The sequence below is a fragment of the Homo sapiens genome, chromosome 6 (assembly GCF_000001405.40).
Source record: "Homo sapiens chromosome 6, GRCh38.p14 Primary Assembly".
Taxonomy (NCBI): Eukaryota; Metazoa; Chordata; class Mammalia; order Primates; family Hominidae; genus Homo; species Homo sapiens.
In genome coordinates, this window is record NC_000006.12 from 133,450,903 (window position 1) to 133,464,308 (window position 13,406).

Genomic DNA, 13,406 nt, shown 5'->3' on the forward strand with positions numbered 1-13,406 from the left:
AAGTAATTTAATGTGTTTCACTACCTTAATCCTAATTATATAATTACATCTGCAGATTTATATGGAACATAGATTTTCCTTTGAAATTGTTAGCACTTGTAAAATTATTAAAGTGTAAAATATAGAGATAGCATAAATGCAAGCATACCTTAGCAAATAAAGCAGAGGTCAGGCCTTGTGGGCTGTCTGCTCTCTGTTGTCGCTATTTAGCTCTGCTATTGTTGCACAAAAGCAGCCATATACAATACCTACACAAATTAACGTGATTGTATTTAAATAATTTGACTTATGAACACTGAAATTTGAATTTCATTAAAATGTTCATGTCACAAAATATTCTCCTTTTGATATTTTTCAGCCACTTAAAAAGGTAAAAACCATTCTTAGCTTAAAACCATACAGAAACAGGCCATGGGTCAGATTTGGCCCAACTCCTGATATAGATCTATATGTGTATACATAAGTTATGTTGTACATATAAGAATGCATGCCAATTATATGAAAATTTACTTCCAGATATAGGTAATTCCAGATTCTAATTTGCTGAATGGTGTCAGGATTCATGATGAACTACACTTCATATACAAAAATACTTAGATCTATTGGGAGGGCTAGGGCAGTATCTAAAAGAGTAAATTTTCACTTTCTCACTTAATTGAAATGTATCAAGTTCCTATTATATGCCAAGTTCTATGCCAGGAAATGGGAACCCAGTGACCTAAAGAACACAATACCAGCCATCCAGGAACCAAAAGTCTAGCAGAGGGAGGCAGACATGAAAATAATGAATGCCATAATATGTTCAAGGTGGATGAACAGTGGAGGGAGGGAATATTTGATTCTACATGGAGATTAAGAAACAACTTCAAAGAAAAGGTTTGGGGGAATAGAAATCAGACATTCTGATCAGCTTTAGTGTTTTTTTCTATATTTGAAATCGATATAGAAAAGAATCTTCTAGAATTTTTACTGTAGAGATGATTGACTCACATATAATGAATTAGTATTTGTGCAATAGAGCTACCTACTGCTGTGGGTCAGCTCTTTTGTAGATTTTTTTTTAGAATAAAAGTCATAAATGGCTTCATCAAATTATTTTACAAAATTAAATACTTTATGGGTAGTTAGGAATGAAAGACACTTGGTAATCATAGGTTTTTGAATGAATATATTGATCCAAACAAGCATAAATCATAGGCTATACTGATTATTAAAACCAGTAGGCAATACTTTTACTGCTTCCCTGCAGTGTTATAAATTGTAACTTTCCTGATCTAACTCTTTCTGAAATTCTTTGTAGAAACTAAGCTGTCAAAAGCCTCTATATGTGATTTTTGTGGTTCAGAAAGAAGTGTATGTGGAATTACATATATGTAGTTTTTTAAATGGACACCTTAAACTGGTGCACACACACCTTAATCTATGTTTAAACTACACTGATTTATGAAGATGAAATGTAAATGTAAATTATGTGGGTTACCTTTCGAGGATGAAGCCTGAATTGCAACATATGAATATGAACTTTGAGTTATGATAATAAAACAGACTTTCTCTAAAAGTAATTAATCGACATTAATGTTATACTTAACTTCTAAAGACAATTTAAGGGGACAAGAGTAAGACTGCTTTAAAAATAAGTGTATGGCAGTAGGGATGAAGGTTGGGATGTGAAGACAGGAAATCTGTGATTTAGTAGCCATTACTGGTACCTGACAATAATTATGTATGACCTTGATTTAGTCTATAGATAAGAATTATTTTTAAAGCTAAAAAAATGGAAAAGCCAATCATGTATGTTTATTTATTTTTACCATTTGACTCTATCAGAAACATCCAAATTGCAAGTAGCTAACTAGTGGGGAGGGGGACCTGACAGTACAAGGATTTCTTAACGGTTCTCGACAAAGTGGTATAGAAAGTAATTTTATGCCACTTTTAGCAAAACGAGCTCTGACTCACTTACTTTGAAGATACAGAATAATAATCCCACAAAACTCTTCAACCTAGGACATTAAAATATTGTTTCTTTTGAAATCAAAACATTTGGTGTGTAAGCTTGCATTTGGTTGAGAAATACGGTGCTTGTCTTCTATAAAAGGATTTTGCTTCCATTTTATTGCATGTAATGATTTTGGTTTGCTGTCCTGAAAATTAAAAGCCCCATTTAAACTTCATGTTAATTTAAGAAAGACAAAATATAGCTTAACATACATTTGAACAGTCAAGGAATAGGCACTGATAATTATTTGGAATAAGGATTTTTACAAGTTAGTAGTAATAAGACTAGATTTGTCTTACTAATGAACATTTTTCCAATAGTGTCTTGCATATATTTAATGAAAGTTTCCTGCCACTAGAAAAGTATATAGTAGGTGTAATTTAAAGTGCAGAAACAAAAGCAAGATAAAAGAAAAAAGAATACATTTCAAATATATTTCTAGCTTCAGTGAAAATAACGTTGTTTTCCAAGCTTTATCTATAATTATTATATAATGTTTACTTTATACTAGTTAACTGTTATATAAATATCAAGATAATACTTCTTCGTATTCTAACATGTCTTAATAAATCAGCTAATAATATAAGGAGTGTCTATTCACTTCTCTATTTGAGCTTTCTACTGCTGAAAAAATAGTTGTTTATTATTACCTAATATTACTGCTTTTTATTTAGAAAAATCAAACCAAAATAACTTTGGGACTTACTTAGAGATCAAGAGGTGCTTGTTGATGCTCACTTAGTATGAATGCAGCTTATTTTCTGTGACAGAATAAATGTTTTATTTCTACTTTTCCATTTTGTTCTACCCTTGCATAGGAAAAACAATTTTACATTAACATGTACCACTTCCCCTCAAATGTTAGCATCCATTACTTTAAAATTCAGGCATTTTAGTAAAGCTAACACATCTTGCTTGTTACTCCTCTCTTCATATACTTTCCCAGGGATGGCTTTTCTCAGTAAAATGAACTTCCTTTGTCTATCTTTGACTAAAAGCAAACCTTTAAAATTTTAATGAGAGATGTTTCCAGTATAATGAATTAGACCAAAAACTCACTCTCTCCTTCTTCTTTCTCCTTTTGACCTCCCCAAACTTTCAAATTGAAGAGATTATAATCAAAATCAATACTAAGCTTTTGAAATTGGGTCTCAAAGTTGAAATTCAAAGTAACAAAACTAATCTTCATGTCTGGCTTCTAGACCAGTTTCGTTAGACACAGCTCACATTCTGCCACCTCCATTCGCAAGTAAAATCTATATTACAATTAGTATAATAAAGCTACTTTTGCAAATATTGTTCGTAGATATAGATATGCATAAATAGGAATTTAGCTGCAAGTAGAAGTCAGAAGCTCTGATAAACTGTTTCTTAGTTTTGCTGAAGGCTTTGGGCCATGACTTTTTGTCATAAATGTTAGAACTCAATTGTAAACATTGCGTGAAATGGAGTAGCCTTGATACCCATCTAGATTATACTCTGCATTATCTTCATACAGACAAAAGGAATTCTTGATTAGCTAGTGCTGCCTGAGAGGCAGTATGGTTTAAGAGTTTGGATTCTGAACACACACTACTTGGTCTCAAATTCTAGCTCTTACAAGCTTTGTGACTGGGGACGTTATTTAACCTTTTTGTGCCTCAGTTTCCTTATCTGAAAAATAAAGATGATGATATTATCTACTGACTGTTGAGAGGAGTAAATCAGTAGGTGTAAAGGACAAGAGAAGTGCCTGGAATGTATCAAGTTCATTTTAAGGGTGTGCTGTTACTGTTACCTAATTTCAAATTTGCTACTTCTTGATGTCTTTTAAAATATCCCATGAGGAAGAAATGGGAAACATGCCTTAGTATCCTATTCCAGTATTTTGCAGTTTTTATTTTCAGTGAAGTATTTTTAATTATTCTATCTAGGAGATAATTGCATTCTCATCATGCTTTGGGCCTTTGAGAAGAGACACTGTCATGAGCATAAGCTATTTTCGTACCTGAAGGCAGCCTGATACGGTGGAAAGATCCTGCATACTAGAGCTAAAAACCTGAGTTCAAATCTTAGCTCTACCGTCTCCTGCACTGGAACTTATGCAGGCTTTTCAGCCCCCCTGAACTTCAGTTTCCTTGTCTATAAAATGGTTATAGTGATTTGTATTAATTAGAGTTGTTTTAAGGATTAGCTAAATGTACATCATCTAGCACGTAGCAAGCTCTCAATAAGTATTAGTTTTATAGTAGTAAATATAAAGGTGATAAAATGATTTTATAATGATAGGTTTAGTTATTGATAAGGTATAACCATAATAGGGATTACTGTGCAAATTACTACTGAAAAGTAATAACCACCAATTCATTATTTATCATTATATAAATAATTAGACTACTCTTCAGATCATTGTTGCTCTTGAAAGATAAGTCAAACTTGAGTTTGCTTTTTTGCTAAGAAAAGTAATCCAAGTTTCTTTACTTTCTGTTTCCAACATTTACATTTCTCCTCTGAATCTTCCAGCTGATCATGTCATTAATAAATAATGGATACTAAATTAACCCAGAGCTCACTGAAGGTCTGGTTAATTCTGTTCATGTGGAAAAGAGCATAATCATTACCGCATGGTTTTCTATCAATTAATTTCTTTTCTAACAGAATAACATTACTGACTTGTGTGATTGGTGGGTACCCTATGACTGACTGTTCTTTTTTGTCCTTTGGCTAGTCTTCAGCTTTCTTCTTTATAATTTTCTGCTTGCTTCTAAGTTATTTAACTGTATCATTCATTTCACTTATGACCAGGAAACACAAGAGGTGTTAAGTAGAAAATAGCTTAGTTTATTTCCTTGCTGCTATGATATATGTAGTAAAGCCTTGCCAACAAAGGGAAAATATGGTGTGACCAAATGGGTAAAACTTTATTCTCACGCCCCATCACCCTTGTTGCATCTAATAATGATAATAATGTGTACTAGGCCACTTTGTTACCAAGCAAAGATTTTGCCAAAATACACCATTACCACGTAGAAATAACATATTAAAATGAGTTTTCAAAAGGTGTACTTGCTGCTGTAGAAGTCATCTCTTTTTCTACGCTTATCTCTAAACATATTAAAAATTGTTATGCCATTAAAGTATGAAGCCCAACACCTTATAGCTCGTGAGTCTTTTTTAGAGCTTCATTGAGTGCTTCATTTTTCATTCATTGTGTGAATGAGCCCATGGTTTCTATACTTTTATATGTCTCCATTGTATTATTATGCAAACTTAAAAAATATCTTCCTGGGAAAAATAAAATATAAGCTAGTAAATTTCTTTGGTATAATTTTAATTAAATGTGCTGAAGACTGATGATGATTCCTTCTTTCCTATTGACTATATGAGAGTGTGTTTAGGTGAATTAAAAATACAAATATGTGTACTGCTGTTTCACTTTTTAAGGCTGACTGCCTTTAAAAGCTGGATTTGAGAGAACTAGCTTGGCCAGAGGATTTTAGATTAAATCCTCTAAATGCATGCCCGTTTAGAAGCTAAATTAACAAACTCTCTTCATCAACTTCTCAGGTTTTCTCTTGCATGCCCATGGTAGCTAGAAATATCACTAGTAGAACGGACAGAGTCTTTGACATAAATTTAGAAGTAAAACTCACATGTACTTATTCTTCTACGTAGTGTCTCTTCTTGCAGTCAAAACAGAGCCCTTGAACAGCAGTGAAACCACAGCCACGACTGGAGATGGAGCGCTTGACACTTTTACTGGGTCAGGTAAAGCCTTTAGCTCGTGTGTCCTTACGTACACATGGGGGTGCATCCACATCCTCCTCCTCGGGAATAAGCAACATAAGCATCCAAGCTCTTAGAACTTTGATCCTTATAAAGTTAGAAACAAATTCTTATTTTTTGAGAACTCATAGTCATAGCAGTATGCATTGTTATAAATTATATTTAGAATAATTTCGCTTGATATTTTAGTTGACAGCAAAAGTCCCATGACTTTCTTATTATGGATAAGTAAACTTAACTTCCTTCAAAATTATTTTATACGATGTTTAATTAATTTAATAATTAAGTTGTAGTAGCTGACCTTGCTTCTTCAACTTACCCATTTGAATTACATAAAAACTGCCTTCTGTTTAACATTCGAGATGTAAAACTATCCATTTGATTCCTTCTAAATAACCTTGTTTCCTCTCTGGGTTTAAAAAACTCCTCCTGTGTAAGCAGCTGAGTGACAAGTATTAAAGGTTAATGGGCTGCAGGAGAGCACATGCTGGTTGCATTAGAACCCAGCCTCTGAGAGCGCTCGAATGCTTCAAAGAGAACAATAGCATGTCTTTAAACATCAATCCCTTTAAAATATAAATACCTGATAACTCCCAGCTGGGCACAAAGGGCATGAATTAAGTAGACTTAATTAAATTTTTTTAAGTTACAATATTTCTTCGGCTTTTTATCTGGTGAAAGGATTTTTCTAACCTGAGGAGGATCGGGTACATCAGAAAGAAGAACATTAAACCTAGGAAAGTATTTGTGGTAATTGAATCTCGGTTCTGTTATTCTACTTTAATACATTTTACATTTATCCATGTGCTCATGTTATAAGGATTTTTTTGTCAGTATGTTTTGTGTAAAAATAGTTGAGATATGTCTTAGAGTATTATGTCATTATAGCATATATTTGATTTTTACAGATGATCTAATTTCACTAGTTCACACCGATTAGAAGCAGTTGCCATATATTTACATAAATATTAGTACTCCAAGAAAGAAATAATAGTACATAAACTTTGCACAGAGACTCATATGTACTAATCCACATCTTTTCTAGCAGTTTACCTGCCTCTCAGGAGATAGTTACCAGTTCAGTATTCTGTATTGCACACTTACCATAGCTTTTGTAAACTTTCTGCAAAATAAATCTATATGAACAAATTGTTAAGGAAAGGAATGGAGTTATTAACTTATTGCTGACCTACTTCAGTAGTATACTACAAGTTAATTGAAAGCTGAATGACAAAACTATAAAGTGTTAGCTCCAGAAGGAATTTCAGAGCTCTCTGATCCGTTTTGTAGACAAGAGAAGTTAAAAGTGGTTAAGGCCATACAGTCAAGGCCTCACAGCTGGTCAGTGGTATAAACAAATCTAAAACCATGTCCTTATGATCAGTCCCTGGGTCCTTTCTGTAATGCCCCATCAGAAAATAGATGGAAAAAGAAATAGGCATGAACAATCATCCTGTCTGAAATTCACTCATATTGTCTTTGTAGATATTTTCGCAAATTTTTAAAGAAGTATCTAGGGACGTGCTGTCCAGTAAGGTAGCCACCAGTCATATGTGGTTATTAAAATTTGATAAAATTAAAAATTTTGTTTTTTATTTTCATTTTCACAGCAATATTGCAGTAAGTATATTTTTATTAATTGATTTTGAAAATCATCAAGTACGACTAGAGGCGTTAAGTTCTCAATATTTTCAGCAACCAAAATTTAACTGAATTTTCAAGTTTAAACACATTTCAAGTGTTTAACAGCTGCATGTGGTTAGCAGCTACCATATTGGACAGCTCAGATACAGAACATTTCCAACACTGTGGAAAGTTTTATTCCACAGCAGTGATCCAGGGCAGGGATTATCAACATCAGCACTGTTAAAGACTTGGGCTAATTCTTTAGTGTGGGAAAGCTATCCTCTGCACTGTAAGATGTTTGGCTGCATCTATCCCAGAATGCCAGCAGCACTCCCCCAGATGCTTCTTTACTAAAGAAGCAACCAAAGATGTCTTACTAAAGACAACCAAAAATGTATCCAGACTGTTTAAGTGTCCCCTGGCAGGCAAAATTCTCACCCCCACCCACTTCTCATCCCATTGAGAGTCACCAATCTAAGATGGCACGATAATGAGAATGAAACCTTAAAATTGCTTTGACACCATCAGAGAAACTGACAATAGATATTAAACATGTATTTAAATTAATTTTCAGGGCATTTTGAAAACAAGCAGTTTTGCTTACTGTTGTATGCAGAAATGATGGAATGTAATGAGTGTTTTGGGTAATGTTTATGATTAATCAGATGACAGTGGGGAATAAAACGAAATTCTTTCAAGTTTGTACAAGATATTCCAGAAACCATTCTGGAAATGAGGCTGCCCTTTGTGGGAGCAGTCTTTACTTTGATCTGCAAAATTTCCACTCACTTTAATCCAATTTTGTTGTTCTTTTCAGTTATCTGCAAATTTCTGAATTAGAACAAAATGTATATATTTTAGTAAAGAAGCATAAACTTTCCTACGTGAACATCGTAGTTTTCTGAGCCAAAGGTTTTCTGTTCTATTTAGAAAATGAACATATAGACGTTAATAGAAATTTGTAAAGGTTAGTTGAGGCTTTATAGTGTTGTGAGTACATTATTCTAATGATGTTTAGATTTATCATTAGAAGAAACATCCTATATATTCAGAATTGAGTTCATGTATATGAGTTTTTTCTGAAATGTGTAATTTTGGTCTATGTCTTATTTATAAAAGGTTACTATAATGAATATTTATCTTCATGATTCAGCGTCTCTTTGGAAAAGCCTTCTATTTCACAATATTGATAATAACTGATGAGTATAGCCCAAGTCTTGAGTGTACCAAGGAGAAATTCTGTAAAGAAGAGACGAAAGAATATTTAATCAAGCGTCATTTAACTATATTTCTGTTAGAGTATTTGGTATTGTTAATCGATAAATTAGAATGAATATCTTTGGAATAACACTACTATTATGAAGTGCACATTTAATGTCCATTGTGTAGTAGAACAAAGAGTCTGTTTTCATTAAGTTGATTTGAAAATTTAAAACGTTCTTTAAGTTTTGATAAATATGTAGAAAAGTAATAGTTTATTGGTCAATTTATTTTCAACGATACGTATCAAATTCAGTTAAATTCTGGTTGCTGAAAATATTTAGAAGTAACACCTTTAGTCAAATTTGATGATTTTCAAAATTGACTGATAATATTCTTAAAAATATACTTACTTCATTATCGCTATGAAAATGAAAATATTCTTTCCATATTCAGAGCTTATAGGCAAAATAGCATTTTAAACACATTAAATGATGCATGTTTGTGAAGCAGATCACAAGGGTTCTTGTGATATATATAGAAATATATCATGTTTCATAAAATAGTTAGCAACCTAAACCTATTTGTCACTTTTACAATTCTAAAAGTTTCGCTCCAGAATTATTATGAACAACTCAGAAAGGACATAGTACTTTGAAGTATAACTATGATTGATTAGACTAAACTAATTCCAGCACTGCATTGTGTACTACTTTAATCTTTTTGAAAAGTGAATGAACAGCAGATGGCCTAATAAAGACACTCTGTGTGCTCGCTCAGTGTGGATTGGCTCTAAGGGAACTGGCTCACACTTTAGAGTCCATATATTTGCAAAACATCTGTCTTAGTCAAGGCAGATAGTTAAAGGAAAGAGAAACTTCCAAGCTATTGGATATATTCCAGTTTGGGGCTCCATGTTTGGATGAACTGTTAATAGGACCTCACTTTCACCTTTAAGTTCTTCTCAGAAAAGTATTATCTCTAATAGTTCAAAGTATATTTGTAAATGTAATTGCTACTGCATTTTGTGATTATGTTTTAAAGAAATCACCTGCACTTTCTTTAATTATTACTGGAATATTTTAGACTGCATTTTTTAATTGTTCATCTGATGGGTAAAATGAGAGGAAATAGAATAAAATAGTATTTTACCATTAGAAAATGAAGTTTGGAACATCACAGTCTTATTTTGTATTGTATTTGAATTAGAACAGATATGGAGGAAGAGCAATATGTATATATTGCCATCATATTTGGTATTTTAAAATGTAAAGTTTGCAAATTTTAAAAATTTACTTTTATATTTTGAAAGCTTAATTACCCTATAATCAAAGATATTTATTCATAGCATATTAATATATAAGAGCATGCTAATGATTTGAGAAACTGGAAGAATGACAGAGGGAATGATTTGTGAGACAAATGTTTATTTCATGCTTTTTGCACAAAACTCAAAGCAGTTTAATTAGGAGAAAGTGTTTAGGCAGCTGTTTCCTTTTAGAAAATGAATTTCTGGAAACATGTATTTAACATGGTAATTTCTTCAAATTGGTTATGTACACTCTAGTGAAATGTATTTATGAAGCAACCTTTGGTGCACTGGTATTTTTGTGTCTTACAGTAATTACAAGTAGTGGCTACAGCCCCAGATCAGCACATCAGTATTCCCCACAGCTGTATCCTTCCAAGTAAGTGGTCAGTAGATTCTTGCTTTAAATTGGCAAACATTTATGTCTATACATGTTTTATAGATGGTTGGATAATACTTGGATAGATTACATATATAGATAAATATCCTGTACAAATTTGAAATGGAGACACCCACATGTATCTTGATGATTCCCTTGAATATTTATGTATACCTTGAGAAAAATATCAAGCTCAAATTAGAATACATTGCATTTTAATTCAAATTCAAAAATGCTGGCTGGTTAAAAAATCTAAAGAGATTACATTTTATCTAAATGTCAACACTTCATAATTAATTCCATCATTGAAATTCTTTTGTTGGATTTCCAGTTCTAATAAACATATTTTTGAAGAATATGCCTTATTGTTTTTATAACTAATATAGTCACTTTATTGAGGACAGTGGTAGATATTTCTTAAGTTTAACTATATTGGGTGTATATCTGAATTGGTTTGGAATCAGCCAGACGTGCCAAGATTTTGTATTGCTGATACATACACATTTAAATATAGTATGTTATTTTCTGCAGCATCTAGAGTGTCTGCCTTTACATATATATAGACTGAAGGTTGGATATCCAATGGGGAACATGATGTAAAATGTGGCATGATGAAAGGAATGATGTTCCTTTTTTTTTTTTTTTTTTAAGGAAGCTTCCTACCTTTCTTTTTCTTTTTTTAAATTTCCAATTCTTGGGAGCGAATTCTTAGTAGGGCTTTTAAATAGACTTCCATAGTCTTTGCATAGCATTAAGTCACTCATGGTGAGTGTGAATTTGCTCATGAGCATATTAATTAGCTAGTGTGTGCTCCATTTTCCTCATCTGTGTATTAACTGGAGTGCTATTTCAGATATGAGCAAGAATTGTAGACCTGGAAGAGACACAGGTGTAAAATCTAAATCAAATTTCTACTTTTACAGGTGTGGTATAGACATAGGGAGTTTAAATCATTTGTCTATGGTCACTAGATTGGCTTGTAGCAGAGCCTGAGCTCCTGACATTCAGACTGTTGCTTTTTCCTATATTGTTAAAATTATATTGTGGATAAAGAGGATTACTTCCTGGATATTATAGGGTTTCACTGAATCTAGGCTGTCTAAATTAATACACAGTCTTTGTTGCCACAGTAATGCTATTTTTCTGATATTTAGGCCCTATCCACACATTCTTTCTACACCAGCAGCTCAAACAATGTCTGCCTATGCAGGCCAGACTCAGTATTCGGGGATGCAGCAGCCAGCCGTCTACACAGCCTACTCACAGACAGGACAGCCCTACAGCTTGCCCACTTACGGTATTTCACATCTTCTGTTTTCTTCTTTGGTTATAGGCAGGTAATCCTGCTGGCTGGTAGCTTTGTATTCTATTGTAGGTTACAACTTAGAAGGAAAATCATCTTACTAATTAAATGGTTTACACATTCAATTTTCTGAACAGATTTGGGTGTGATGTTGCCAGCCATCAAGACAGAGAGTGGACTTTCCCAAACTCAGTCCCCATTACAGAGTGGCTGCCTCAGTTACAGCCCAGGGTTCTCTACCCCACAGCCAGGCCAGACACCTTATTCTTACCAAATGCCAGGTAAGTAGCTACACATGAAACATGTTTTGGGAGAACTAATTCTTTGAGTGAGACTCATTGGCTTCAGACTAGGAATATCCAATCATGAAGGTAGTTTTAAGCTTTATCACAGCTCACACAATTTCTAAAGAAAGATAACTAGACAGAAACACGATGAAATGGTTGAGTATACGTCAGGAAACATGACCTATACCAAACTTAAATACTTAAGTTTAAGCTGCGTAACATCAGCAGGAAACCAAGTCCAAGCAAAGCAACTCCCAAGCCAGACACCAGGTCAGCCACACATTTGGCGTCTACTTAAGCAATTTAAAAGATCTGTAGCACAAACCAGTATTTTCTTTTCACTCTTCCTGAAGTATGTAATGCTGTTTTGATTATACTTAAACTTGAATTAACTCTTTTCTAAGTTCCATATATTATTGACCAGTTGAGGATTTTTTGTTCATTCCTAAAATTCCTCTCTCCTATTGATACTATATTGCTTAATAGGACTGTTATATAATATTTACTCTCCAATCCTCCATATAGGCATATAGGATCATTAAATTTTTTTAAATTTTAGACTCCTATTAAAATTGTGTTTTATCTTTTTTTTTTTTTTTTTTTTTCTGAGATGCAGTCTCGCTCTGTTGCCCAGGCTGGAGTGCAATGGCATGATCTTGGCTAACTTGCAACCTCCACCTCCTGGGTTCAAGCGATTCTCCTGCCTCAGCCTCCTGAGTAGCTGGGATTACAGGTGTGCACCACCACACCCAGCTAATTTTTGTATTTTTAGTAGTGACGGGGTTTCACCATGTTGATCAGGCTGGTCTCAAACTCCTGATCTCAGGTGACCCGCCCGCCACGGCCTCCCAAAGTACTGGGATTACAGGCGTGAGCCACCATGCCTAGCTGTGTTTTATCTTAATGCAATAGTTGCCAAAAGAATTTTAGTGACATAGTAAAAACTTTAAAAGCTGGTTACTATCTGTCATTTTGTCTGTACTGCAAATCACAAATTTGGGGCTATATTAACATATTTGAACCAACTGGTATGACATTTTGGTCAATTGATTCAAATGAAATAATTACTTAGATATGTTCAGCTGGAATAGCAGTGCTCTTTTTTACCTAGAATGTAGGTTGAAACATATTTGAAAGCATGCTATAGCCACAAAAATTCATACAGCTTCAGTTAGCCATGTGACAGACAGTATTTTTTTTTTTTTCACGAATACTTTCATACTGGTTATTCCAGGTCAGGTCAGTGGCACTGATTACATAATACATTGCTAGTCAAAACACATTGATAAAACAAGTAATCAGCTACCTCAATAGCCTTTCATTTTACTTCTTGACAAGCACATTCCATAAGGACTTTTTTTTTAGGAAACCTGTAATTGGCAGCTCACTTGTTTTTGCCCTGATTTGAGAAATCATTAAATTTCAGACCTTGTAGTAAAGTTTTAGAAGGCCCTCAAACCCTAGATTTGTGTACCATAAACAGTTCTCCCTTGAGTCTGAACCCTAATTCACAGCTATTTTTGTTCTAAAGAAAAGAC

General features: G+C 33.5%; 1 protein-coding gene and 1 long non-coding RNA gene across 31 annotated transcripts in view; one reads left to right on the forward strand and one right to left on the reverse strand.

The window, feature by feature from the left end:
• EYA4 (EYA transcriptional coactivator and phosphatase 4) overlaps positions 1-13,406 on the forward strand; it is a 291,536-nt gene that overhangs the window by 210,310 nt on the left and 67,820 nt on the right. For 17 of the 30 annotated variants that reach the window (XR_001743219.3, XR_001743220.3, XR_007059221.1 and 14 more), the window contains 4 exons: positions 5,654-5,746; positions 10,212-10,278; positions 11,433-11,575; positions 11,719-11,862. Coding sequence is in view for 27 of the 30 variants with exons in the window: in XM_017010368.3 (XP_016865857.1) it covers positions 5,654-5,746; positions 10,212-10,278; positions 11,433-11,575; positions 11,719-11,862 (447 nt within the window). In the remaining 3 variants the exon portion in view is untranslated. The remainder of the gene's footprint in view (positions 1-5,653; positions 5,747-10,211; positions 10,279-11,432; positions 11,576-11,718; positions 11,863-13,406) is intronic. The other 13 variants (XM_047418285.1, XM_047418286.1, XM_047418288.1 and 10 more) reach the window with 2 other exon arrangements.
• EYA4-AS2 (EYA4 antisense RNA 2) lies at positions 1,783-5,703 on the reverse strand. Its single transcript, NR_199014.1, has 3 exons — positions 5,632-5,703; positions 2,706-2,760; positions 1,783-2,144 (listed from the first exon to the last, which is right to left on the reverse strand). It is a non-coding gene; the product is annotated as an EYA4 antisense RNA 2 (long non-coding RNA).